The sequence below is a fragment of the Homo sapiens genome, chromosome 12 (genome assembly GCF_000001405.40).
Source record: "Homo sapiens chromosome 12, GRCh38.p14 Primary Assembly".
Classification (NCBI taxonomy): Eukaryota; Metazoa; Chordata; class Mammalia; order Primates; family Hominidae; genus Homo; species Homo sapiens.
Genome location: NC_000012.12, coordinates 132,025,445 through 132,050,702, shown reverse-complemented (window position 1 = coordinate 132,050,702; position 25,258 = coordinate 132,025,445). Strand labels below are relative to the sequence as shown.

At 49.3% G+C, this 25,258-nt stretch overlaps 1 protein-coding gene and 1 non-coding gene across 2 annotated transcripts in view, besides 2 other annotated features; both read right to left on the bottom strand.

Annotated features, from left to right (window-relative positions):
• The window catches only part of EP400 (E1A binding protein p400), a 130,519-nt gene that overhangs the window by 29,758 nt on the left and 75,503 nt on the right, over positions 1–25,258 (bottom strand). The window contains exons 25-41 of the mRNA NM_015409.5: positions 24,899–25,057; positions 23,172–23,266; positions 22,415–22,686; positions 20,800–21,002; positions 20,545–20,714; positions 18,554–18,750; positions 12,910–13,021; positions 12,607–12,750; positions 7,241–7,399; positions 6,975–7,058; positions 6,392–6,526; positions 5,988–6,032; positions 5,750–5,903; positions 5,143–5,384; positions 4,803–4,976; positions 244–380; positions 48–104 (exon numbers count right to left, since the gene is read on the bottom strand). Of these exons, the coding sequence (NP_056224.3) occupies positions 48–104; positions 244–380; positions 4,803–4,976; positions 5,143–5,384; positions 5,750–5,903; positions 5,988–6,032; positions 6,392–6,526; positions 6,975–7,058; positions 7,241–7,399; positions 12,607–12,750; positions 12,910–13,021; positions 18,554–18,750; positions 20,545–20,714; positions 20,800–21,002; positions 22,415–22,686; positions 23,172–23,266; positions 24,899–25,057 (2,539 nt within the window). The remainder of the gene's footprint in view (positions 1–47; positions 105–243; positions 381–4,802; positions 4,977–5,142; positions 5,385–5,749; positions 5,904–5,987; positions 6,033–6,391; positions 6,527–6,974; positions 7,059–7,240; positions 7,400–12,606; positions 12,751–12,909; positions 13,022–18,553; positions 18,751–20,544; positions 20,715–20,799; positions 21,003–22,414; positions 22,687–23,171; positions 23,267–24,898; positions 25,058–25,258) is intronic.
• Positions 256–1,227: an enhancer, noted in NCBI's record as "NANOG-H3K27ac-H3K4me1 hESC enhancer chr12:132534021-132534992 (GRCh37/hg19 assembly coordinates)". NCBI's record gives its function as "activates a minimal SCP1, AML or CMV promoter by ChIP-STARR-seq in primed H9 embryonic stem cells {active_cell/tissue: H9 hESC(primed)}" and the evidence as "EXISTENCE:reporter gene assay evidence [ECO:0000049][PMID:30033119]".
• On the bottom strand, positions 19,343–19,479 carry SNORA49 (small nucleolar RNA, H/ACA box 49). The gene has a single exon (NR_002979.2). It is a non-coding gene; the product is annotated as a small nucleolar RNA, H/ACA box 49 (small nucleolar RNA).
• Positions 22,405–22,699: a silencer, noted in NCBI's record as "tiled region #9648; HepG2 Repressive non-DNase unmatched - State 15:Elon, and K562 Repressive non-DNase unmatched - State 17:Gen3'". NCBI's record gives its function as "represses a minimal TATA promoter and a strong SV40 promoter by Sharpr-MPRA in HepG2 and K562 cells {active_cell/tissue: HepG2 | K562}" and the evidence as "EXISTENCE:reporter gene assay evidence [ECO:0000049][PMID:27701403]".

Here is a 25,258-nt window from a genome sequence, read left to right as displayed (position 1 = left end):
TGAAATCCTTCCAAACAGTAACAAATGTGTCACGAATAGAGAAATACCTTTCTGCCAACACAGACGCGTGCTTGGGGTTCTTCTGAAAGGGATTCATGCCAAGCCTGAAGTATAGACAGTGAGACAGCAATTATTAAATAAAGGAAATATCTGAAGAAGGGTATGTTAAAAACACATCAAAACCAAGCTTCACGCAATCTACTCAGTCATAATGAACATAAAATGAGCACTCAGGAAACATACAGAGGTTTGATTGGGGGACTCCTCTTGCCAGCAGTCATTTTCATTAAGTCAAAGTGGCTCGTGTACAGCTGGGTGTGTGTGGCATTCTCATCCTGGGCATAGATCTGGCTCGTACGGAGAGGACGGTTGTTTTTACTCTGCAATGAAATTGACGAGAGTGCATCTGAATTAGGCAGCATGGACAGACGGCTGCGTGGGACACAGGGCTCACTGGGTGGGAATCTGAGGCTAAACTCCCCATGGCTGAACACAAACTTCCTTTTCCTGGGCCTTCTTTCCAAGTTCAGGCATAACCCAACAGCAGCGGCATTAAGTGGCTGTCGCGGCCGACTGCTGTGACACTCTCCAGTCCATGCTAATCCTTTCCAGGTGTTCTCTCACGTAAGCCCCATAATCACCCCAAGAGGGAGAGGGAACAAAACAGGTGTGCAAAGTGCCCAAGGTCACATGGCAGGTGACTGTGTGGAGCGGGCTGTGAGCCTTCACCCGCTAACACCAAGGGGCAGCGCGGACTGCCACGGACAACACTGTCATCTGCCCACGGTGGACAGTGAGGCTGGCGCATGCCCAGTGGTGTCTCAAAGTACATTCTTGGGGTCTCTAGCAGTGCTTATGGCTGGCAGTCTTTCCTTCATAAATGGCACAGCTAAACAATGGGCCACTCAATTGTGGGCTATGTGCTCCCAAGACATCTTAGAATCCTGCAGAATTTTAAAGCAACTCCTTATCCTGTGAAGTGAACAGCTGTCCCAGGAATGCTGTCTGTGCAAGGTCACAGAGGTAGCGACAAGTCAAGACCAGGGCTCAAGCACCTCCTTCCTCACCCAGGGCTCTTCCCCCATGCTCCTCTAAACCCTGGTCAAAGAGAGTGTGCCAAGGCGAAAACCAAGACTCTCACATGACACAGCAGCACAGGCCCAGGTATGGGTGTGTCTGTGCAGGTACATGTATACATGTCTGTGTGCACATGTGTCCTCCACTGCTAGAGGAATGCCTTAAATTCTGAAGGCAACACCAAGGACAACCAGAACTAGAAACCAACATGCAAGGCCACAGCAGTCTGCTTCCGGAACACTGTACCATACAGGGAAGCATTCTCCTCCTACCTATTATCCTAAGAGTAAGCAAAGGGAAGCAGGGAGAAGGGGTGCATAAGACTAATACCAGGCCTATCACACATGACACTGGATGGCTCAACTGAGCCAAGTCAGAGATGGAAAGACCGTGTGTCTGGTAATGGAACTCCTGTGCAGGCTCTAACCAGGCATGAATGCCCCGCCCCGCATGGCTTGCTGGAGCCCCCGCAGGCTTTGAGAGGTGGGGCTGTCCCACTCACGCACACATCCGACCACTGTCACTATCATGGGCTTCCACAGGGAGTGAGGGTCATGGAGGCTCAGGATGTCCTTTAGGGGGCTCGGCAAGTCACCATGGGGTCCTCTAATGCAAAGAGGCATGTCCTCTATGTACAGAATGAGAGGCCCTGGAGAAAATTCTAGGTCTCAGGTTTCTGTTGATTCCTAAAATACAGGTTAAGACTGAATCTTACTCTATGTTTCTGTGCACAGGCTCTTAACAAAGTGCTCCAACTTATTCAGAACATCACCCACAGCCAGGGCTGGTGGTTCATGCCTGTAATCCCAACACTTTGGGAGGCCGAGGTGGGTAGATTATCTGAGGTCAGGAGATCGAGACTAGCCTGGCCAACCTGGTGAAATTTAGGGCATTCCTCTAGCAGTAGAGGACATGCCTCTACTAAAAATACAAAAATTAGCTGGGTATGGTGGCATGCACCTGTAATCCCAGCTACTCGGGAGGCTGAGGCAGGAGAATCACTTGAACCTGAGAGGCAGAGGTTGCAGTGAGCCGAGATCGTGCCACTGCACTCCAGCCTAGGTGACAACAGTGAAATTCCCGTCTAAAAAAAAAAAAAAAAAAAATCACTCTCAAACTTTACAAATATTTTTGCCTTTTTCTTTGGATTAGCTTCATAAATCAGCTATAAAAGAAGACAATATTGTTGCAGGAAGTCAGGGACCCCGAACAGAGGGACTGGCCGAAGCCATGGCAGAAGAACGTGGATTGTGAATATTTCATGGACATTTACTAGTTCCCCAAATTAATACTTTTATAATTTCTTACGCCTGTCTTTACTGCAATCTCTAAACATAAATTGTGAAGATTTCATGGACACTTATCACTTCCCCAGTCAATACCCTTGTGATTTCCTAGGCCTGTCTTTAATCTCTTAATCCCATCATCTTTGTAAGCTGAGGGGGATGTATGTCGCCTCAGGACCCTGTGATGATTTTGTTAACTGCACAAATTGTTTGTAGAGCATGTGTGTTTGAACAATATGAAATCTGGGCACCTCAAAAAAAGAACAGAATAACAGCAATGTTCAGGGAACAAGAGAGATAACCTTAAACTCTGACTGCCGGTGAGCCAGGCGGAACAGAGCCGTATTTCTCTTCTTTCAAAAGCAAATGCGAGAAATATTGCTGAATTCGTTGAATTCTTTTTCTCAGCAAGGAACATCCTGAGAAAGAGAATGCGTCTCTGAGGGTAGGCCTCTGAAATGGCCGCTTTGGGGGCAGCTGTCTTTTACGGTCACAGCTGTAGGGATGAAATAAGCCCCAGTCTCCTGTAGCCCTCCCAGGCTTATCAGGATGAGGAAATTCCTGCCTAATAAATTTTGGTCAGACTGGTTGTCTGCTCTCAAACCCTGTTTCCTGATAAGATGTTATCAATGACAGTGCCTGCCCGAAACTTCATTAACAATTTTAATTTCGCCCTGGTCCTGTGGTCCTGTGATCTCGCCCTGCCTCCATTTACCTTGTGATATTCTATTACCTTGTGAAGCATGTGATCTCTGTGACCCACACCCTATTCATACACTCCCTCCCCTTTTGAAATCACTCATAAAAGCTTGCTGGTTTTACTGCTCAGGGGGCATCACGGAACCTGCCGACATGTGATGTCTCCCCCAGACACCCAGCTTTAAAATTTCTCTTTTTTGTACTCTTTCCCTTTACTTCTCAGACCGGCCAACACTTAGGGAAAATAGAAAAGAACCTACGTGACTATCGGGGGCAGGTTCCCCCAATACAATATTTTAGCTTTAATTTTTTTTCCATAATAAGGTAATGGCTATTATTATAAATGCTTCCAAAACACAGAAAACCTAATTAATGCAAGATTCCAGGAAGTCTTATTGGTGAAGGGACCACAAAGTGGTATTACGAAGAAAACTTGCTTTTCTACATTTAACAAAAAAAACAAACAAATGCTTTGAGACAAGTGTTTTTAGAAAAATGAAAAGACAGATGACTGAAAGAGTGGGTACAGAAATAAATTAAGTGTGATGTTCGCATCCTGAGGATGGATCTGGCTACTATGGAGAAAATGTTAATTCTCACAAATTAGGAACAAAAGTAAATACAATAAAAGTACTGGATGCCTGCCTCTACTATATGTGTCCCACCCTGTTCCATGCAAGAAGATGTGCCCACAGCTCCTGTTTGGATGGGCTCCATGAGGTGAACTGAAAGGCGGTGGTCCCCACACGCCAGCATGGCACGTGCCCTGGAAGTCAGGCAGCACACCTCCCAATGGGTGTGGACACTGGCAACGTGGGCACAGTAGAGCATGCAGACGCTGCTGGTGTGGGGGCTCTGGATGCTGTCCTGAGGCGAGAAAGGCAGGCAAGCAGCAAGAAGGAGCTGCCTGAAGAAAGCCAGATGCAGAACAGAGAGGGATGACTCAGCTCGAGGGAAGGCATGCCACACGCATGCCTGTATGTTACTGACCAGCCGCCTGGACTCTTCGGGGGTCAAGCTACAAACCACACAGCTGACTTCTTACATGAAAGACCAATGATTTGACTACACTACACGTAAATAAACATTTGCAATACTTATAGTTAACCCTGAAACAGAGAATATTATGCTTGTCAAACCATTGCAGCCAGCCAGTCTTTCGGTACCAGAATAGCAGAGGTACCAGTAACAGACTTTTCTTTAAGTACGCCACGATCAAAACAAAGCGAGACAGCTTATCAACTTATCTTTTCATTCACCCAAAACCTTCTTGAAAATGTCTATCTATATATGACCAAGTGTTTGGATGACACCCTCATTTAAGTACGCCATGATCAAAACCAAGCGAGAGGTCTTTTCATTCATCCAAAACGTTCTTGAAAATGTATATATATATGGCCAAGTATTCAGATGACACCCTCATTATCTTAGAAATGACAACGGCAGTGCAAATGTTGGTATCAGATAAAACATCAGGTACGAGGCCTGCTGCCAACACCAAGCATGATCCCAACAAGCACAACGTGAACTCCTCCATCACTGCTCATGCCATAGGCGAGGCACAGTGCAGACACCTGACCTCGCTGGGTCCACCAGGAGCCCAAGGAGATGGACTTCACCGCAGACCCACAGGGATGAAGGAGCCCAGTCAGTGAAGAGCAGGACTGGAGCTGAAACTGCAGGCCACGGCCACCACACCTGCCTGTGCTCTCCTCGAAGGACAAACGAGACCGTGCTTACCTTCCCCTCCTCTCGTGGAATGATGACATTCTCGTAGCGATTCCGGCACTGTTTGGAAGAGCGGTAGATTCGGCTACAGGAGTTAACAACGTCACTGACAAGATCCCAATTAGGTGTGTGAGCAGGTGACACGATTGTGAGGTTCAAAGGCAGCTCCAGTAACTGCTTTACAGCCTAGAGAAGGAGATTTCAGGTAAAACAGGTGAATACACTCTAAGTCAGAAGGTCTTCCCTCTTGCCAAAGACTCCCTGCAAAGTGATCACAGTGAGCTGGATGCACGGACGTGCGTTAGAAAAATGACCGCACATGACCGCTGGCACAAAGACCACGCCCACCTACCTGCAGCAGCGCCCAGTCCTCACTGATGAGCCACTCGGGGTTGTCTTGACCAGGCTCAGCTGTGGGTTTGGCAAAAGTTGGCAGGGGCTTGGCGAATGGCACCTGCTGCTTCAGCAGAATATTCTTCTTCTGCTCCTTGCCCTCTCTGCGAATTTTCAGAAGTCCTGGTGTTGCGCGGTCAAACAGGGACCGAGGAGGGACGACCGCCTCCCCGTGACGCTGCTTCTTCTTCCTGCCTGCAGCTGAACAGAGAGGCAGTCTTCAGCAAGAGAGTAAACCAGGAGATTCCACACGGGCAGGCAAAAGACAAAGGAAACAGGTCAGGCAAGTCTGGAGGTGCCTGGGCAAAGAGGCCACAGAAAGCACCTGCCAAAGACAGACCTGCTTTCGGGCCTTCATGGTCAATTAGAATGAAACACGAAGGTTTCCTCACTGGAAACAACATAACCTGTGCACATGGCCTGAGAGGCAGCGGATGGGCGTGTGATCGCTAGCCCTGCAGCAGACAGGCAGACAGCAGACAGGCAGACAGCAGAAAGTGGCTGACATGCAGGGATTCTGCAGGCCAGGGCCCCCCCAGGTCATGTGACGCCCTCGGGATGCGCACCTGAGGGGTCTGTTTTGTGTCGCTTCCGCTCCTTCCTCACGTACACAGGGGGCAGCTTAGCCTCTGGGATGGGAGTGGCTTCATACATGAGACACATGACCGAGTCGAGGTAGATGTCGCTGTCGTCCTGCGGCGGGGTGGGTGGGGTCCAGAGCTGCATGGAGAAGGGAAGGCCCATGAGATGTGGAACTCACAGGAAGCTGCCCACACAGACACAAAGGGAGAGGGCAGCACTCACCGGCATGACTTCTGTCTGCCCATCGACATCTTCGTAGACATACTCCTGTAGGGAACACGGCAAGCTCTGACTTCCACCAAGTCTCAGTGTCATGTTATAAGCCACAAATCATGTACCTTCATACTCATTAAGTCTTTCAAATAAGTTCTGATCAACATGACTATTTATAAGACTTATAAATGTTTTAATCAGAGCTGGTCAATATCTAACTGACAATCTCCAAGTGTCAATTTTTAAGAAAATTGTGTTTTTAGAACATAAGTGAGGTTGTGTTGATATGAGAAGTAAAAATTCCTAGGCATTTTCTCATGTCAATGTACACAGACTTTGAACAAGCCAAACATGGCTGCACAAGTGCCCCTCAGCAGGGGGGCAAGAGGGCAGGAGGGCCCCGGGCCGGGTACCATGCTGTAGGCATCCTCTCGCGTGTAGGTCAGGAGCTCCGCCTCCTCCTGCTCCAGCCGCAGCCGGGCCTCCCTCTCCTGCAGGGTCTTCAGGTTCCAGAACTCCCATGCCCTCACTGCAGTCATCACTGCGTCCTGACGGGGAGAGCAGCAAGAACTTTCAGGATCAGGAGTGCAGCTCAGAGCAGCCCCCGAGTCCCTGCTCCAGGTTTCCCTGTTGTCTCAGAGCCACATGTTCTCTACACACACTGCTCCACAATGCATCACCCCCACAAGCAGCAGCCTGCTGCAAATCCAGTCAAAGACATCGAGGGCAGAACAAGCCCCATGGTCCCTACAGGGGTAGAACAAGCTCCACGGTCCCTACGAGGGGAGAACAAGCCCCATGGTCCCTACGTGGGGGTGAACAAGCTCCACGGTCCCTACGGGCTTCTCGAGACTCTCTTCATTTTAAGTTCATTTCCATACTTGTGGGTTTTGGCTTTTGTGACTTTAATTTAATGAAGTCACATTTACTTCAAATCAAACTTAACTCTGAAAATATTGCAAATTTTTTTCACTGACCAAAAGTTGATTCTCTTACCTCACTGTTTCTCTCCTTTTCTTGCTCAATAGAAGTATGGAATAATTCCAGGTAATTTAAAGCATATTTTTCAATTGGTGTAAGCTGTTCCAAAAGTATATTTTTTGAATAGGGTTAATAGCAAGTTAATAAAAGTCAAGTTCCTTATACAATCCACTAACCAACATTTGAATCAAAAAGTGATTTTTCTTGCAGTAAACAATAAATATTTTATAGAAGCGTCAAATTTTTAAAATATGTAGTTGTAAAGGAAAACATGCCCAAACCTGCTCCATGAAGTCAGCTAGCTCCTCTAATTGGGATGGTTCTTCATCACACGGCATGTTCTCAGAGTCTGATGACAGAGCATCAGTGTGTGGTCCCAGCACCCCCTCCTGTGCGGACTTCTGGGCATCCTCCTCCAGATACTCAATACTCTTGAGGGCCTGAGGAAAGTCTATGTTTAGATTGCCTTGATAGACTTTTTAAATGAGGGTAGTTTGAAAAAGAGCTATCCCATGTAAAGTTAATGGAGATGCCTCCACTATAATCACCCACTCTCCATAAAGGTAATCCACTCCTTCCCTGAGGTCCTCTTACAGGTGAAAATGATAAGGCACTTAGGGAATACAGAAAATGAGTGGGAAACCTCCTGGGCCTTGCTAACCTTACTATCGAGTTGGACAGGCAGGCCCCATGGAAGAGCTGAGCACTGATGCAGGCAAAGCGTGCCAGGGCACCCAGGGCCAAGGAAGCTTGGAGAACAAGAAAGGCCCAAGGAGGCTCCATCTCAGACCCGATGCACACCACTGCCCACAGCTCCTGACAGACACAGCAGGACAGAGGCTGCTGTCCAGGAAACAGACAGCAGACGGACAGCCCAACGTTACAGCAGCCGGAGCAAGTCCACCGCGAAATGTAGCATGGATGACTATGAACATACAAGACAGCTTTACCACAGTGCAAGATACACAAGTTAGAATGACGAGATGCCACTGTTCATCTGCTGAAACAGCTAGGAACACACATCTATAGTTACTAGCAGATGTGGGCAAAAGACATCTGACATGGAGGTATGGTTTTTAGTTAGAAGATACAAATTAAAAACTGGTACAATCTGTTTCCAGGGCAATCTGGCAAAACCCTCAAAGTGATATAACACTACTTTGACACGATACACAGAACTTATTGCCAGATAGGTGGTGCACCTAAATAGCAAACATAAAACAATGCAACATGTAGAAGAAAATAGAGGAGGATGCCCGGTGACCTTCAGGTGGGCAGAGTAATCTCCTCAGCAGAGCACAAAAAGCACCCACTATAAAGACGGCAGATGTGGGCCCTGGATGGTGTTAGAACTCAGAACTTCTGCTCATCAATACACAGCGTTTAAAAAGGCAAACCACAGAATGGGAAAGATATGTCAAGTGTATCAAACAAAGGCCTTTTATCGGGATACATAAAGAACTCCAACAAGTCATTAAGAAACAGAGACAACTGGCCGGGCACGGTGGCTCATGCCTATAATCACAGCACTTTGGAAGGCCAAGGCGGGCAGATCACCTGAGGTCAGAGGTTCAAGACCAGCCTGGCCAACATGGAGAAACCACGTCTCTATTAAAAATATAAAAATTAGCCAGGCGTGGTGGCATGCACCTGTAATTCCAGCTACTTGGGAAGCTGAGCTGGAGGATCACTTTGACCTGGGAGGTGGAGGTTGCAGTGAGCTGAGATCACACCACTGCACTGCAGCCTGGACGATGAGTGGGACTCCGTCTTAAAAAAAAAAAAAAGAAAAAGAAAAAAAAAGAAATAGAGAAAATCCAATTTAAAAAAAATTGGGAAAAGCCTTGGCATTTCTTTAAAAAGTACTCAAACTGCCAGTAAATATATGAAGAGGCACTCAAACTCATCAGTCAACAGCAAAACCACAAATTAAACCACAATGAGACTATCCCACATTCTGCCCTGCAGCTACAGTGAAAGGACCAGCAATTTTGCCTCCACACCACCACCCAGAACAACCCCATGGCAGGAGCATCCCCGGCACAGCCACAGCATCTCCTGAAATCAAACATAAGCAGCCTGAATTGCACATACGTGCTTACCAAAAGACAAGGATACAAATATCCACAGGAGCACAATTCAAATGAACCACTCCATCACGTCCACAAGCTGCAGATCTGATAAACGGCGGTATATTCAGACAGAACTCTAGACAGCAATGAGAACGAGTTACAGACTGCTACGCACAAGAAGGCAGACCCGAAGGAAGAGGCTCCACGTATGGAAAGTGCAGAAGCAGGCGGTGCTGTCAGAATTCGCAAGAGGCAGCACCGCTGGGGGACAGGCCTTCTGAGGAGCCCGCCGCATCCTCCTCCTCCACCAGATGCTGGCTACCAGGTGCTTCTACTGACTGAACATTTCTCCAGCTGGAATCTTTGTAATGTGTACACTTGCTGTATGTTTTGTTTTTGCATGTCAACAAGGACTTTTCTTAAAACCATTTTGCAGGCACAAATCCTCTGATGAGCGTTGCCAATGACAGAAGAATCCTATAGCCACAGTCCCATGCGGCAGGTACGAGTACAGCACGCTAACGTGGATCTGTCTCCGCTGGCAAAAGGCCAAGGCTAACCTACCTCTCTGTCCCCAGGGGCCGGTCAAGCCAGTGAGGAGCAGCCATCCTCCTCACACACCCACTGCAGCAAGTCCTGCTGGCTCTGTCCTCCAAAGACCCGCCTGCTGCCCCCACATGTCCCCCAGTTGTCCTCACCAGCCTTGCTCACCAGTGTTACTGCTCTGGGACTCTTAACTGGTCCCCAGGATCCCCCTTGCCTTGCTACAACTGAGTCTCAACAAAGGAGTCAGAGCGACTCTCTTAGGTGATGCCAGACCCCGTGCCACAGCTTGACTCAAACCCTTCCAAGGGCTCCCTACAGTCAGGCCTCACCTGGTCACACCCTCCCCACCCCCTCAGCCACACTAACCTGTCTGCTGTGGTGACCACATTCTCCCCTGGATTCAGCACTTCACAACTTCTCATGTGAATAAATTACATGCTTTACTCACTAGGTTTGGTTTCTGCCTCTCTCCTTACTAGAATAAAAGCTTCATGAAATTTTTGTCTTTTTTCGACCCTGTATCCCCACTGCTTATAACAGTGCCTGACACACAGTAAGACAATCAACAAGTATGTTTCAAAAGAATCTGTGTGTTGAAATACTATGCTGCTGGGAAACAACACAGCCAATATGGAAAATCCACAGACTTCTGATGGACACTTGGGTTGATTCCATGTCCTGGCTGCTGGGACAGTGCTGCGATGAACACGAGGGTACAGACGCCTCTCCTACACGCTAATTTCAACTCTTTGGATATACACCCAGCAGTGGGATTGCTGGATCAGGTGGGAGCTCTATTTCCACATTTTTGAGGAACCTCCCTGCCGTCTCCCATGGTGGCTGTGCCAACGACGTTCCCAGGGACAGAGTGCAACGGGCCCCTTTCCTCCATGTCCTCGCCAACACTCGCTATCTTTTGCGTTTTGATGACAGTCATCCCAATAGGTGCCAGTTGGTACCTCCTGTGGTTTTTATTTGATTTTCCTGATGATTAGTGATGCTGGACATTATTTCGTCTACACATCGGCCACTTACATGTTTTCCTTTGAGACATGCAGAGTCAGGTCCTTTGCATATTTTATCTTTGAGACAGGGTGTCACTCTGTCACCCAGGTTGGAGTGCAGTGGCACGATCACAGCTCACAGCAGCCTCAATCTCCTGGGCTTAAGTGATCCTCCCGCCTCAGCCACCCCAGTAGCTGGGACTACAGGTGCTCACCACCACACTCCTAGTTTTCAAAATTCTTCTTGTAGAGATGGGGTCCCACTATGATGCCCATGCCAGTCTTGAACTCCTGGCCTCAAGCCATCCTCCAGCCTCGGCTTCCCAAAGTACTGGGATTACAGGCCTGAGCCACCACACCTGGCCCCAGCTACGCTTTTGTGTTGTTTTTCTTTTTCAACCTCATGCATGTATTACCTCCTTAAAACACAATGAGGTTGATCCATACCTCCTCATATGTAATAATCTGTAAGGTATTTCTGTGCAAAGGAAATGATACACATGCAATCTCTAGAAGAAATGTGAGAAACGGGGTGGTGGCGGGGTTGGGGGCAGGGCAGGAGACTGGCTTTTCATTATAAATTCTCAAAGGTTTGGGTCACGGGTGGATCCCTCAGGAATAGAAACGCTCTGGGGCTGGGGGAGTGGGTCTCACCCTGTTCGTCCTGTGAGGGCCAGTCTATTAAAGGGAGCCTGCTGCCTGCCCCTTGCTCCCTCTCTCACTCCGTGGCCTGCACATGCAGCTCCCCCCTCCCCTTCCACCACCATGGAAGCCGTCTGAGGCCCTCACCAGACAGATGCTCAATCCTGAACTCTGCTGCCATCAGAATCACCAGCGAAATAAACCCCTTTTTAAAATAAATCACCCAGTCTCAGGTATTCCTTTACAGCAACACAGACAGACTAAGAGAGTCATACCCCAAGTATTTCTTACTTATTCAGTAACTGAGTAATGTTTAGAAATGGAAGAGGAGACAGCACCAGAGTTGGTAAGAACAAGCTGAGCACAGGCAAGGAGGGGGCTGACACCATGAGGCTGGGAGGCTCAATCTCGGGTGTCGGCGGACAGGTGCTGAGGGGCTGTGTAGTGTGCCTGGTCTGGTCTTTAACACTTTCACAGAAAAGAAAAAACATACAGAGAAGCCCATGCAGTCATGCGCTGCAGTCAAACAGGGCAGGAAGAAAGATGTACAGGGATACCAAATCCTTCCAAGGTAAGAGGCACAGAAACGGGGACCCCACAACAAGTTCTGGAGGAGTGGCAGGGCCACATGAAGGAGGAGGGGACTCAGAGAACAAAGGCAGCTGAAGGCCTCCATCTCCAGGACGTGGGGCTGCAGGGCTTTGGCGGGCAAGCCACGGGGACAGGGAGGGAACAGCGGCCCCGTGACGGGTCTGTGACATGTCTACACAGCAGCACCCCCAAAAGGGAAAAATCAAAGGACCCAAACATGCCCTCTATCTTCTACTACCCACACCGAAACAGTAAAATATTGACATAACCCGATAGCCAAAATATTATCACTTCAACATGTAGTCAACACTCAAAAGTATCAACGTGATAGTCTGTGTTCTTTCTTATACTCAGTCTTTGCAATCAACCAGCACCTTACACTCAGCACCTGAGTGCAGACTCATGGCTGCACTGCTCAGGGAGAAGCCAACACAGCCAGCTAGAGGGGAGTAGGGGTAGTGCCCGCAGAGCCTCCAGAGGAGGCAGGGATAGATTTCCATGGGGAGGGGAAGGAGCTGAGACTGTGGCAAAGTGCAGATGAAGACGGCAGCGACTGCTTCGGTGACAGGCCTGTGGTCCGCGACCTTCGCCACCATTCCCCTCACTTGTATTTACAGTTCAAAATCCCCATGACAGAAAGAAGGGAGTGGGGAGGTTCCAAAAGCAGGGACGGGAAGAGGGCTTCAGGCCAGGGAAGAGTGGGGACTGAGCACCCAGAACCCTGGGGGAGGGTGCAGGTGTTCCGCCGGCTCCCACCGTGCAACTCTTCAGCCAGATTCAATGTATTCTTACCTCTATGAAAGGTCTTGCAATTTTGGGTGCAATGGTTTCCGTGACAGAAGGTTCCTGAGAAAGCACCACAAACTCCTCAGCTTTGACCGGGAAGCCAGCATCATCCATGGGAGAATAAACTTCAAACAGCTCCTGGATGGTTCGCTGAACACAGAGATGTGTGTTACTCCCCAGTACAAGGTCCAAGTGTGCATCTGACCTCAGCTGGAGACCTAAGCCCCTTGCTAGTGTGCACTAACACCATGCGATTCCACGCGCCGCATGGCGGGTCTCACCTCAGGCCTCTCATTGAATAAGGAGTACCTGAGTTAAGAAAGCCATGGAGTAGTCATTTCCCTGAGCAGCCACTTCTCGGATCAGATCTTTAGTTCCATTTTTCAACAATTTCTCTTCAATGGAATTGCCACTCACAAGCCTGCAAACAAAAGATGTAAGATGCTAAGTCAGTCACCAGGAAACACAGTGACAACAGGTGGGCACAGCATGCAGATGGTGATCAACGAATCCACGTCCCTCCTCCAGCTACCCCTGCTCAGAACATGCCTTCGTGGGGCACCAAAGGCCGCTCTCAGCCAGCCCCTCCAATCTTAGCTCTCCCGCCTCCCAGAGAGCTGACAGGAGGCCCCTCCGGAAGACTCTTCGCTGTGCCACCTCATCCTTCCACCCGCCATCCCGTTTTTCTCCCACCAGTCTCAACCTGGAAATGTCCCACCTGGTCCTTCCAGATGTACCTCCAGCATCTATCTTCTCTGAAGCTTTCACTGAGCCCAACAGGCAGAACTGATCACTTCACAGACTGGCTTGTTAACACTCATGAGACACCTCATTCTCATGTAATTATGGGCGTTTTTCTCTTTCTAACCCCGGTACACTACCAGACCCACAAGAGGTGTTCAATTACGACCGTGAGCTGCAGATGTCACCCCACTGGACAGACGGACCCCCAGTGCAGGGACACAAGGCTTCCTCAAGATTCCATCACTGGGGACACAGAACAGACCATGCAGTCTATTGCCTTCCCATGAGGCTCATCTGCCTGTAAAATGCTAAATGCTAAACCTCAAAAAAGCTCACATTAAACAACTTTAACAGCATGATTTTCAGAGATGAAAACAAAATTTTTTTCAGAAAATTCCAAATTAAAAGGATCCTAAATATTAAAGAGAAACCATCATAGGGAACAGCACGGAAAGTGAAGACGTGAACCCAGACACAAACAAAGGAACTAAATACGTGATAAAGGGAAATAGTGGATGGACAACTTCATCAACAGCAAACCACCACCTGGGAAGACTTTCCTGGCCTTTAAATGAAAATCTACTCTTTCTTGATTATATTACTACATGCTCATCATAAATTATTTGATTACATAAAAGCATAAGAAACAAAACAAAACAAAAATCGCCTGGATTCCAATCACCCTGAGAACCACTAAAAAAAGTGGGGATGGCATTTCCACCCACCTTGGTTCACAAGAAGGTGCTGCTGCACGTGTGACAGTGTGCGCTTCCGCGGGCACACTTTTCCTAACTGGCATATTTCATGGCTGCTTCAGGGAGGGTGGCCTGCCTCTCCTGCCCCCCGCCCCAGCAGCCACGTCAGTGTGAACCTGGGTGCGTGCTTCCACGACGTTCCGTGTGAACCTGGGTGTGTTGTTCCATGATGCTCCATGTGAACCTGGGTGTGTTGTTCCACGATGCTCCGTGTGAACCCGGGTGTGTCCTTCCACGATGTTCCATGTGAACCTGTGTGTGCCCTTCCACGATGTTCCGTATGAACCTGGGTGTGTGCTTCCACGACATTCCGTGCGAACCTGGGTGTGTCCTTCCCACGACGTTCCGTGTGAACCTGGGTGTGTCCTTCCATGACGTTCCGCGTGAACCTGGCTGTGTGCTTCCATGACGTTCCGTGTGAACCTGGGTGTGTTGTTCCATGATGCTCCATGTGAACCTGGGTGTGTTCCACAATGCTCCGTGTGAACCCGGGTGTGTCCTTCCACGACATTCCGTGTGAACCTGGCTGTGTGCTTCTAAGACGTTCCGTGTGAACCTGGGTGTGTGCTTCCACAGCGTTCCATGTGAACCTGGGTGTGCCCTTCCATGACGTTCCGTGTGAACCTGGGTGTGTCGTTCCACGATGCTGTGTGTGTGAACCTGGGTGTGCCCTTCCACGACGTTCCGTGTGAACCTGGGTGTGCCCTTCCACGACGTTCCGTGTGAACCTGGGTGTGTCATTCCACAATGCCCCGTGTGAACCTGGGTGTGTCCTTCCACGATGTTCCGCGTGAACCTGGGTATGTCCTTCCACGACGTTCCGTGTGAACCTGGCTGTGTGCTTCCAAGACGTTCCATGTGAACCTGGGTGTGCGCTTCCACAGCGTTCCATGTGAACCTGGGTGTGCCCTTCCATGACGTTCTGTGTGAACCTGGGTGTGTCGTTCCACGATGCTGTGTGTGTGAACCTGGGTGTGCCCTTCCACGACGTTCCGTGTGAACCTGGGTGTGCCCTTCCATGACGTTCCGTGTGAACCTGGGTGTGTTGTTCCACGATGCTGTGTGTGTGAACCTGGGTGTGCCCTTCCACGATGCTCCATGTACCGTCACTTCGTGCACAACCGTGTGGGGAAAATGTCCGCCTTACTTCCCACTTCTCTGCATTTTGCTGTCCTCCCTAAGCAGTGTATTACAGAAATCCCTCGACATGAGCTCATTTTCCACCTGGCTGCTCAACACCGTGGGATGGCTGTGCCCCAGTGACTGCTTTGTGCCATGTGACAAAGCTGCGACACACATCCTTAGATAGCAATCCCACATCCCCATCAACATGAGGACGTCCCCTTTTCTAGTGCCAGGCTGAACAGGCTCGTTCCCTTAAGGTCTCACCTGTCCGGGGCATGAGAAGAGAGATCTCATCGTGCATTAAACTGGTCCTTCCTTCTCCAGACCAGTGAGCTGGAGCGGCCTCTCACACTTTCTGGCCAATTGGGATGGACTGTTCATATTCACAGGCCCTTCCTATTTAAGAGTAAGGGGGGGTCTTTATGTATCTTCTCGATTTTTAAGAGGTATTTAACTCTTTACTTGCACTGAGAATGGCAAATCTCCCTGTTCTATCACCCGCCTGTCCACTGGGCTCACCGTATCTGTACAACGCTTGGCTTCCTGTCTCACTGCAGCTGTGTGCCTGTCTCCCCTGACTTTGGGGTCTGTGTGGGTCAGGCGGTCCCTTCCAGCTCTCGGCCACAGGTACTGTCTCTTCAAGAGTGTTCTAACACTGCTGCTCCACCGAAAACATTCAAGTCCTTCATCCCTCTGGACTCCGCCATGGTCAGGCGTGGGAGCAGCACTCCAAGCCCCTCCTCTCACTCGTGGAGCACAAGGTGTGCGGCACATTCATGACAGAAAGGCCCTCCAGTTACTGCGACAGCCAACCTTTGTAACATGCGAAATCCCCATGGGTGCCGGGCTATCTGCCCCGACACCAACAGCACCCTTATGCAGTTTGGGGGTTCCCATGGCTCATAGTGGGGCACACTCCCACCCGCAACACTGAGCATCATGATGGCGGCCTTCATCAGGACGTCCACACTGCAAGCACATTGGCACCACCTTACCCAACCGTGTGTGTGCACGCATAGAACCTTCACACCCATGAGGAGCGTTTTCACAAAAATATATTAAATTTTAGTATTACTTTGGAGAAACTTCACATGTTCATGAATGAAGTCTACCCACTCGAGAACAAAGTGTGTCTTCACACTTGGCACAGCCCATCCTGCATCCTTCAAGGCCACCTCATGCCTCACTTCAGATGCCCTGTTCCTGCACCGCTAAGGCCATGCCTGAGACTTTATTGATACTGAGAATACAACACTTTTCCAATTTCTGGCTAGTAATTGCTAAGGGCCAACAATGCAGAATGGATTCCACACTAAGCCCTTATCCATTCAACATAAACCATGCACCAAACTTATATTCATCACCATGGAAATGTATGTATAATGTACTGTTAAAAGAAAAAAAAAGTTTACAAAAGAAGACACAGTGTGAGCCTTCTTCAAGAAGCAGAAGCGTGTCTGGGAAGATGTGCAACTGAATGTTAATAATTGCTGCCTCTGCAGGATCCTTGTTTTTCTTTACAGGCTCTCCTTTTTTCCCTCGAGGAACATGTAATGCATTTATAGCAAGAAAAATAATAATAAAACAATTTAAATACAGCATTTGAATTACTATGACACCAACCATCTTGTTAAAAAACAAATGGTTGGCCGGGTGCAGTGACTCATGCCTGTAATCCCAGCATTTTGGGAGGCTGAGGCGGGCTGACTGTTTGAGCCCAGGAGTTTGGGACCAGCCTGGGCAACACAGCAAAACCCTGTCTGTGCAAAAAATACAAACATTAGCCAGGCATGGTACTGCACACCTGTAGTCCCAGCCACTTGGGAGGCTGAGCCGGGAGGATTACCTGAGCCTAGGAGATAGAAGCGTCAGTGAGCCAAGATCATGCCACTGCACTCCAGCCTGGGCAACAGACCGTCTCAAAAAAAAAAAAAAAGAGGTTAAAGCACACTTGGGTTTTAGTTCCAGGGTCAGCTACCACCTAGGAGACCTCATGCAGGGACCATATTTGTCTAGTCTCAGGCTCCCTACTGGGAACTGACGGGTCACCATGAGAGGTGAGCCCAGGATGTGCTCGGCACACAACCAGGCATAAAATAAGCAGAAGAAGTAAATCTACTATTACACTGTAACAGTAAGCACTTAGAAATTTAAAAATATACAGTAACCTTTCCCCATTTCCCCCAATTGTGTTTTGACAGTTATAGTTTTTATCTTTACAGATAATAATAGGCCAGGCGCGGTGGCTCACACCTATAATCCCAGCACTTTGGGAGGCCAAGGCGGGCGATCACCTGAGGTCGGGAGTTCCAAGATCAGCCTGGCCAACATGGTGAAACCCCGTTTCTACTAAAAATACAAAAACTAGCAGGGCATGGTGGCGCGCACCTGTAACCTCAGCTCCTCGGGGGGCTGAGGCGGAAGAATCGCTTGAACCCAGGAGGTGGAGGTTGCGGTGAACCAGGATCACGCCATTGCACTCCAGCCTGGCTAACAAGAGCGAAACTCCGTCTCAAAAAACAAACAAACAAAAACATAATAATAGATTTTGGCTGGGCACAGTGGCTCATGCCTGTAATCCCAGCACTTTGGGAGGCCACGGCGGGCGGATCACGAGGTCAGGAGTTCGAGACCGGCCTGGCCAATGTGGTAAAACTCCGTCTCTACTAAAAATACAAAAACTAGCCGGTCGTGGTGGTGCACGCCTGTAGTCCCAGCTATTCGGGAGGCTGAGGCAGAAGAATTGCTTGAACCCGGGAGACAGAGGTCGCGGTGAGCCAAGATCGTGCCACTGCACTACCGCCTGAGCGACAGAGTAAGACTCCATCTCAAAAAAAAGAAAAAAAAAAAAAAAAACTAATTCTCTTTTCTCTTCTTTTCACAGGTGTTGACCATTCTTTCAATAGCCATTTTACTAACAGATAATTTATAGTTCATAATTAAAACAACCCAAAATCTAAATCGTACTTTTAAGACTGAGATACTCTGCAAGAGGTACCACACGTAAAAACTGAAGATGGCAAGATGACTTGTGTGAGCAGCATCACTAACTTACAATTTCAAGCAAATGTTGAGTATAAATAAAAGGAATAGATAGATAAAATAGCAGAAATGTAAGTTTGTCTGAAGGAAAACAAACCCTAGTTTAAAATTAGATATCATGCATTGTCTTTAGTGCTACCTTTTGTTTCTGCATTAGTGCTTCTTGCACCAATATCTCCTGCAAAGCTTCTCATTGACTCCATTTCCACGCGGCCATCCCCGCAGGCCCTCACCTGTATATGTGGATGTCTTTGCATCTCCTGATCCTATCCCCCGCAGGCCCTCACCTGTATATGTGGATGTCTTTGCATCTCCCGATCCTATCGCACCACTCCTGAGCTTTGGCATCCATCACTGGATTCAGGTCATTGTCATAAAACACGACGGTGTCCGCCTCTACAAGGTTTATACCTGTGGTACGGCTGTGAGTGGAGAGAATGGCACAAAAAATCCGCCTGTCTCTGTTGAAACTCCTCATCAGTTCCTAAGATGAAACAAAACACAGGAGTTAGTATTCTTGGAAAATGTTGGGAAACCTTTGACACGTTTCAACATTTATTAATTAGAAATAATCCCACAGCAGGCCGGGCGTGGCGGCTCACACCTGTAATCCCAGCACTTTGGGAGGCCGAGGTGGGTGGATCACAAGGTCAGCAGATCGAGATCATCCTGGCTAACATGGCGAAACCCCGTCTCTACTAAAAATACAAAAAATTAGCTGGGCGTGGTGGCAGGCGCCTGCAGTCCCAGCTACTTGGGAGGCTGTGGCAGGAGAATGGCGTGAACCCGGGAGGAGCCTGCAGTGAGCCAAGATTGCGCCACTGTACTCCAGCCTCGGCGACAGAGCAGGACTCTGTCTCAAAAAAGAAATTATCCCATAGCAAAACTGCTTGGTTTGTATTCCATTCAACACGAGGCTCATGTTAAAGCAACACCAAGGTCCCCGCACTGTATTCCAGCTCTTCTGTGCAGCCACTATCATCTTACGCTCACCCATCGCCAACACCCTCATGCACAGTTTAAATAACATCAGCCATGAGTGACAAGAAGGAAAAAGTTAGAGTCCACCTTGCATTTACTGTCAGCTCAACTTGTAGGCCCCAAAAGAAAACAGCGTCTTACTGGGGAGGGATATGTGCTTTCTCATCTATCCTCAGGCAATGCCAGAGCACTTTACAGGCAACAAAAAGTCCCTGGAGTAAGGCTGAGGAAGCAGGAAAAACAAAACCGTGAAGGATAGTCCTCTAACCTCACTGTTGACCATGAAGGGAGATGACTTGAATACTTTTCTTCCATAACGATTTCTGTGCCAGAAACGAAACCTAATCACTGACCAACTCTCTTCCTTCCAGGCATTCTACAGATAATTTGCTATAATATTACCAAGAAAACTTGTTAAATCACCTTTTGCTCTATTTCTTTCTAGGCCTCTCCAGCGTGTACATGAGCGTGTGTGTGAGATAAAGCAGGCTGCGCGACTTACAGGGCAGCAACTTGGTTTTGCGCTGGGGGACACTGGGCCATGCTACTAAAACTGGCTCTGAAATGCTGCTGACAAGGGCCTAGCACACCACGTGAAATGCTGGGCAGTTTCTGCTCATGAAGCTGCCAGGGCACGGGGCCCATGGACAACCCCTTATGCACTCACTCTTCTGCTGAACACTGACTTTGTTCTCAACTGTGAATTACCATAAACATTTCAACAACAACTATGTAGACAGATCTTAAGTGGTGTGTTTGTTGTCATGTAAGTAAAGGGTCCTAAATACAGAATTACTAGGTCAAGCATACATCACTATTAAGGTTCAAATCCATACTGCCAGGCTGCCTTCTAGAACTATACTAGTTTATGCTTTCACGGGAGGATATGAGAGTGTCTGACTCACTGTGCCTGATGAAACAAAACAGCCTTGGCAAATCTTGTAAGTAAACAATGGGCATATTACCCTAACTTGTATTTCCCTTCATTCTAAATTGGTTGGAATTGTTTTCATATTTTTACCCTGTAGCCACCTCTTGAAGTACGCCAGTATCGTCTTAATGATGATTGCAGGTCACCGGCATTTATTCTGAGACATCAAGACTGCATTTACCTAACAACGTGGCTTTTAATAAAAAATATCGAAGGATGGATTGAGACTTTAAAAAGTTCAGAAGCTCATTAAGTCCCTCCCCTTTCACTTAGAAGGGCCATGAGACCACTGAATTTACACAGCACTTAGGCATTCAACACCAGTGACTGACCCATCAGAGACAATGTAAACAATGTGCTTCTCACCTGCCGTTGCTCACTGCTGGCATTTTCATCGATTCTTACATAGGTGAGGTAATGGAAGTTCAAGAACATCTCTAAAATGTCCAACATAAGAATCATCTGTGATAAAATCAGCACCCGACGTCCTTCAGATTTCAATTTCTGAAGCAAGATAGCTAAAGCTTCCAACTTCCCTGGGAAACGAATCACATCAAGAGCGCCTCATCATCCAGGGCCGGTGCAGCTCCCGCACGGGCCACGCCCCCAACTGCCGCATACCTGAGTCGAACTGCACCAGCCTCAGCTCAGGGAACTGCAGCAGGCGTGGAGCCGTGGTCTGCCGCAGCTGCTGGAAGTACGGCGCAGCGTGCTCTCTCAGGCCCTGCCTCAAGATCCTCATTCTGTGGCTGTACAGGGGTGGCGGCCGCGGCACCCGTAGGGACGGGGGTGCTGCCACCACCGGAGGAATCACAAAGGCCACCCTGAGGAGCAGAAAGCATGTTTTGTCACCACCAGGAGCCACACACCTTCACCCAGCATGGGGGCTCCTGAAAGATGGGGCAGACTTCTGACAGTCCAAGTCCCAGGAAACAGCAGGGCTCAACCCAGTCACATGGGGATGTGGGTGTTGGCACACGGGCAGGGGCCCAACGAGGCAGATCCTAACCAGTCCTGGCCAATAACCACCACCTCGGGGACTAATTCAGACAGTCCAGGGCTGATGGATCAATGGGGGTGGATTCCCTAGGCCGCAGGCACCAGGTCAGAGATAAGCCATTCTCTTTCTAGTGTGTCTTCAGCTGGAAACTTTGGGACAAAGGTGCACTGTCTCGTGGACCCTAGAACTGCTATAGCCACTGTGCCACCAGGACGGGGGCCAGACTCAGGGTGAAGGAGCCTTCAGGACAATGACAATAGAGCGAAGATCGCACAGCCAACCTAAGGCCCACCTTGCAACCTGTGGAGGTCACCTGCACCAGAAGGCCCTTGCTATGGACATCAACTATGACTCACTCCCAGCTGTATTCAAACTGAACGAATGGTCACCCATGATGTTCAATGAGGGAGGAGTACACAAAGACAAATCAGTACTCGAAAGAAAAACTCCAGGAGCACAAGGTCACTGACATAGTCACTCCCAGACCAGGAGAAGCCAGAAGTGGCTTGTTCGGCCTTGGAGAAGCACTCCCAGTTTTCTTTTTTTCCATTAATTCTGCTTCCTGATCTGAAAGAACTGAAATAGGTAGATCCTGAAAGCTGAGCTGAGCCAAGGCACAGGAAGAAGCCAGGTTGCCCTCTGCAGACAGGAGACAACTGAGAACTACAACAGCTGCAAAGAAGGGAAGAAAACATGTCTGAAGTGGAGCCTGGAGATGGGGTCCAAGCAGGGAGTGGAAATGCAAACAGGGTAACGCACTCTACTGAAAGCAAGCTCAGTTGAGAGCGGCCGGGTGCCCACCGTGCCCACCGGTGCTCAGATTTGCTCTCCATTAAAGCACGTTCTGAGATCAACTCCTGCCCACATTTGTCATCATGTAATGTTCACTCACTCATGGGGCTCTTTTAATGCAATCATTTTTTGAAAGAGTCAAATGGAGAAAGTCCTTAGCAACACAGTGATCTGTCCCCAAGCACAGTGTGAGCTCAGTGCTGCGGCTCTGCCCCCAGGGCTGCCAACTTCCTTCAGAAGCCGCACCTGGCACTGAGACCCAGATAACAAAACCATCTGATCCCAAAGCTGAAGACCTCAAAGACTAACTTCAAAACAGACCGCTAAGGGACAGCGTGGGGAGAAGCCGATGGGAGTAAGATGTACATCCACGAGACAAGAAGGGGTCTTGCCGGGGTGCAATGCAGCCAGAGAGCACCGAAAAGGTCACGAGGTCTGCAGTACCTGTCAATAACATCCTGCAGAGACTCTCCACACCGACAAAGCGTCAACATCAGCTCACTTGGACTTTCTGAGGATGAAGTGTAACTGTGCGCTGGCCCGGCCTCCTTCCCACGACGGCCATCCAGGGACCCACGCCACTGTACCCTTCCATGGCTAGGCAGGGCACAAATCCTTAGCAAGTCTCTGCCATAGACTGGAGCTTGAGAACAGCGCCGCTCGTTGACTAAATAAATCTGATCCAGGCGCTCTTTCAAGAGTCTGGTCTTTTCCTCCTTTATCAAAAAGTGATGAAAAACAGTTACTTGAGAAACAGAATGACAAGTTCCTGTCTTCACCAACCCCCCACCCAGCCCGTGATTTCCCACATATGAGATCCACTTCAATATCCCCGGTCTTGTGTTACAGGAAATAGAGATAGAAATGAAGCCGAGAGCTACAGGAAATAGAGATGGAAATGAAGCCGAGAGCACAAGCGTTCTCTTCTTTGCCAAGATGGGAAGTATTTCTCAAGACACAAGTGAGCAATTCTAATGCCCAGGAAGACTTGCAGAAGGACATAAAAAATACAAAAAAAGATTGTGGCAGTCGTAAGTCCAGTTTCATTTATTTTATTAGAAAATGTGTGTTTTAAAATAAGAATTCAGTAACATCACTTGAGAATTCACAGGAGCCTTTAAATATCACAACCAAACACAACGAGCAGCTCTTGGAAAGCTACCTGTCCACGTGCACCGGGGTCTCAAGCTCAGGTGCTTACCTGGGTCGGCCCTCCAATGGGAGAAGCTGGTTTGGAGGCCGTTCCGGGTTCTCCTACAGCCAAGGCATTCACCGCCACGCGGCCCGGAACGCCAACTACAAATGCATAAAGGAAGAGGTGAAAAGGAACGCCAAGTTCACAGGATTTCATCTGACACCAGCATGCTCCATGGAACCTCACCCTCCACCAGCACACTCCACAGAAAGTCATTCTGCAACGGCATGTCCCCAAGTCCTCATCCTCCACCAGCACATGCCTGGAATGTGCATGGGCTCAAACTTAAATGCTTTAGACCTGCCACGGAAGCATGCTGGCTCGCAGGCCATGACTGGAGCTGAATGGAGCCAGCAGCTTATCCCTTTCTTTTGGGAGGCACTCCAGAGCCACCCAGAAGCATCCCAGCACACCTCCGAGGCCCTGGGTACCCCATCGCCATCAGCACATGGCCACCTCCTAGCCCAGGTGACCGCCTGATGACTGTGAGGCCCTTGCCTGCCATGAGCAGCCCAGCCCCGGCAGGAAGTCCACCCAGTCCTCACAACTGCAACAGAGCAAGCCAGTGCCCGTTTCATATCCGTTCCCTGGAGCTGCTCCTGACATGACACCTGCTACCAGCCAGGGCCAATCAGGAAGGCAGAAGCCATGCCACTTAGTGCGGCAGACTTTCCTACAAAGATGTGGTCAAAGAGGTGTCTGAGTGCTGAAAAGGGGCCCAGGGGTAAGAGTCACCTTAGGGAAAAACAAGAGGAGAGGCTGAGGTTGTCAGAACTCAGCACTTGGGGGTGGGGGTGTCTGAGCTCAGACCCTCAGGGTCCAGGACTCCAGTTGGTACTGGGGCCTCTGAAGCTGAGGAGGGCTTCCACGGGACAGTGACTCATCAGCCCGCAAAGAAGGGTGCAGCAGCTGGTTCTGGAATCCCCAAGATGCCTGGTTCTGGGGGTAGCGGCAAAACCTGGTGAGTGGAACTGCTGACCATGCTGGCATGCAGGACTGCTGCTAGGTGATGCTAACAGGACTGGAGAACAAGCCATGGCCCCTCCCCACTCCAGCCTTGCAGCCTCCTCTGATAACTAACAGAGCCTAACAGGTTGGCAGTGACCCACCCAACATCACTGCCCACTATGCAAAGGTGGGGCTGGAACTGAATGGACACCACTCGGCCACCAGGACAAGGGCTCCATCCCAAGGAGAGAGCCTCACCCCTCTAGGCTCCCACCTGCCTCCACGGGTCTCTGGGTTCCAGAGGACACACCACATCATGACAGAGCATGTCCAGAGAGACCTGGGGCCAAGGCAGGCACAGAGCGGGGACTCAGAGGTGAAGCAGGTGGCGAGACAGGATGAGGAGTGGCAGCTCGGGCCGGACAAAGAACCAGACCCTGCGTGGGCGGCCACACACTCCCACTCCCAGGGGAAACGGAGCACACTGGCGATATACAAACAAGCAAGATTTCTCATGATTCCAAATTTCTTGTGAGAACACAAACAAAACAAAAACCTAAGGACAGTGGAGGCTGGTTATATCCAACCAATACCTTTGAAAGCACAAGAAAAAGAAAATAAATCAGGCTGACACTAGGACACATCTATAGAAATCAGAGATGGCCACACACTAGACTGTGCTGTTCTGAGATACAGTCAAAGACACATGAATGCTTTCCACTCGCCTTAGATGGAAGAGAAAGAAGCATCCAAGCCAAGTCTCCCTCCTGCTCAGAGCACCCTACCTTGTGGGGTCAAGGGTGCAGGGCTGGGACCGCCGGCCGGGGGCTTGCTTCCCAGGGCGCCGTGCACAGCGCCCGCCTGAGACACGGTCTGCATCACCACAGGGCCAGGGGCTCGAAGGTAGGGCTGCCCGGGGGCGGACACGATCTGGAGGACGCTGCCTGCAATCATAGGTCCACTAGGTGTCAATGACAGGCATGTGTACATCACAGCCACACACTCCAGGCACTTCCAAACAGTACAAAAATAAGTTGACAAACTGAAAATCAAATCTACACAAAAAAATCAATGCAAAGTTCAGTTACTGTGAGGAAAGTGGCAACCCATCACCGACAGTGGATGACGACACACTAAGAGACAAG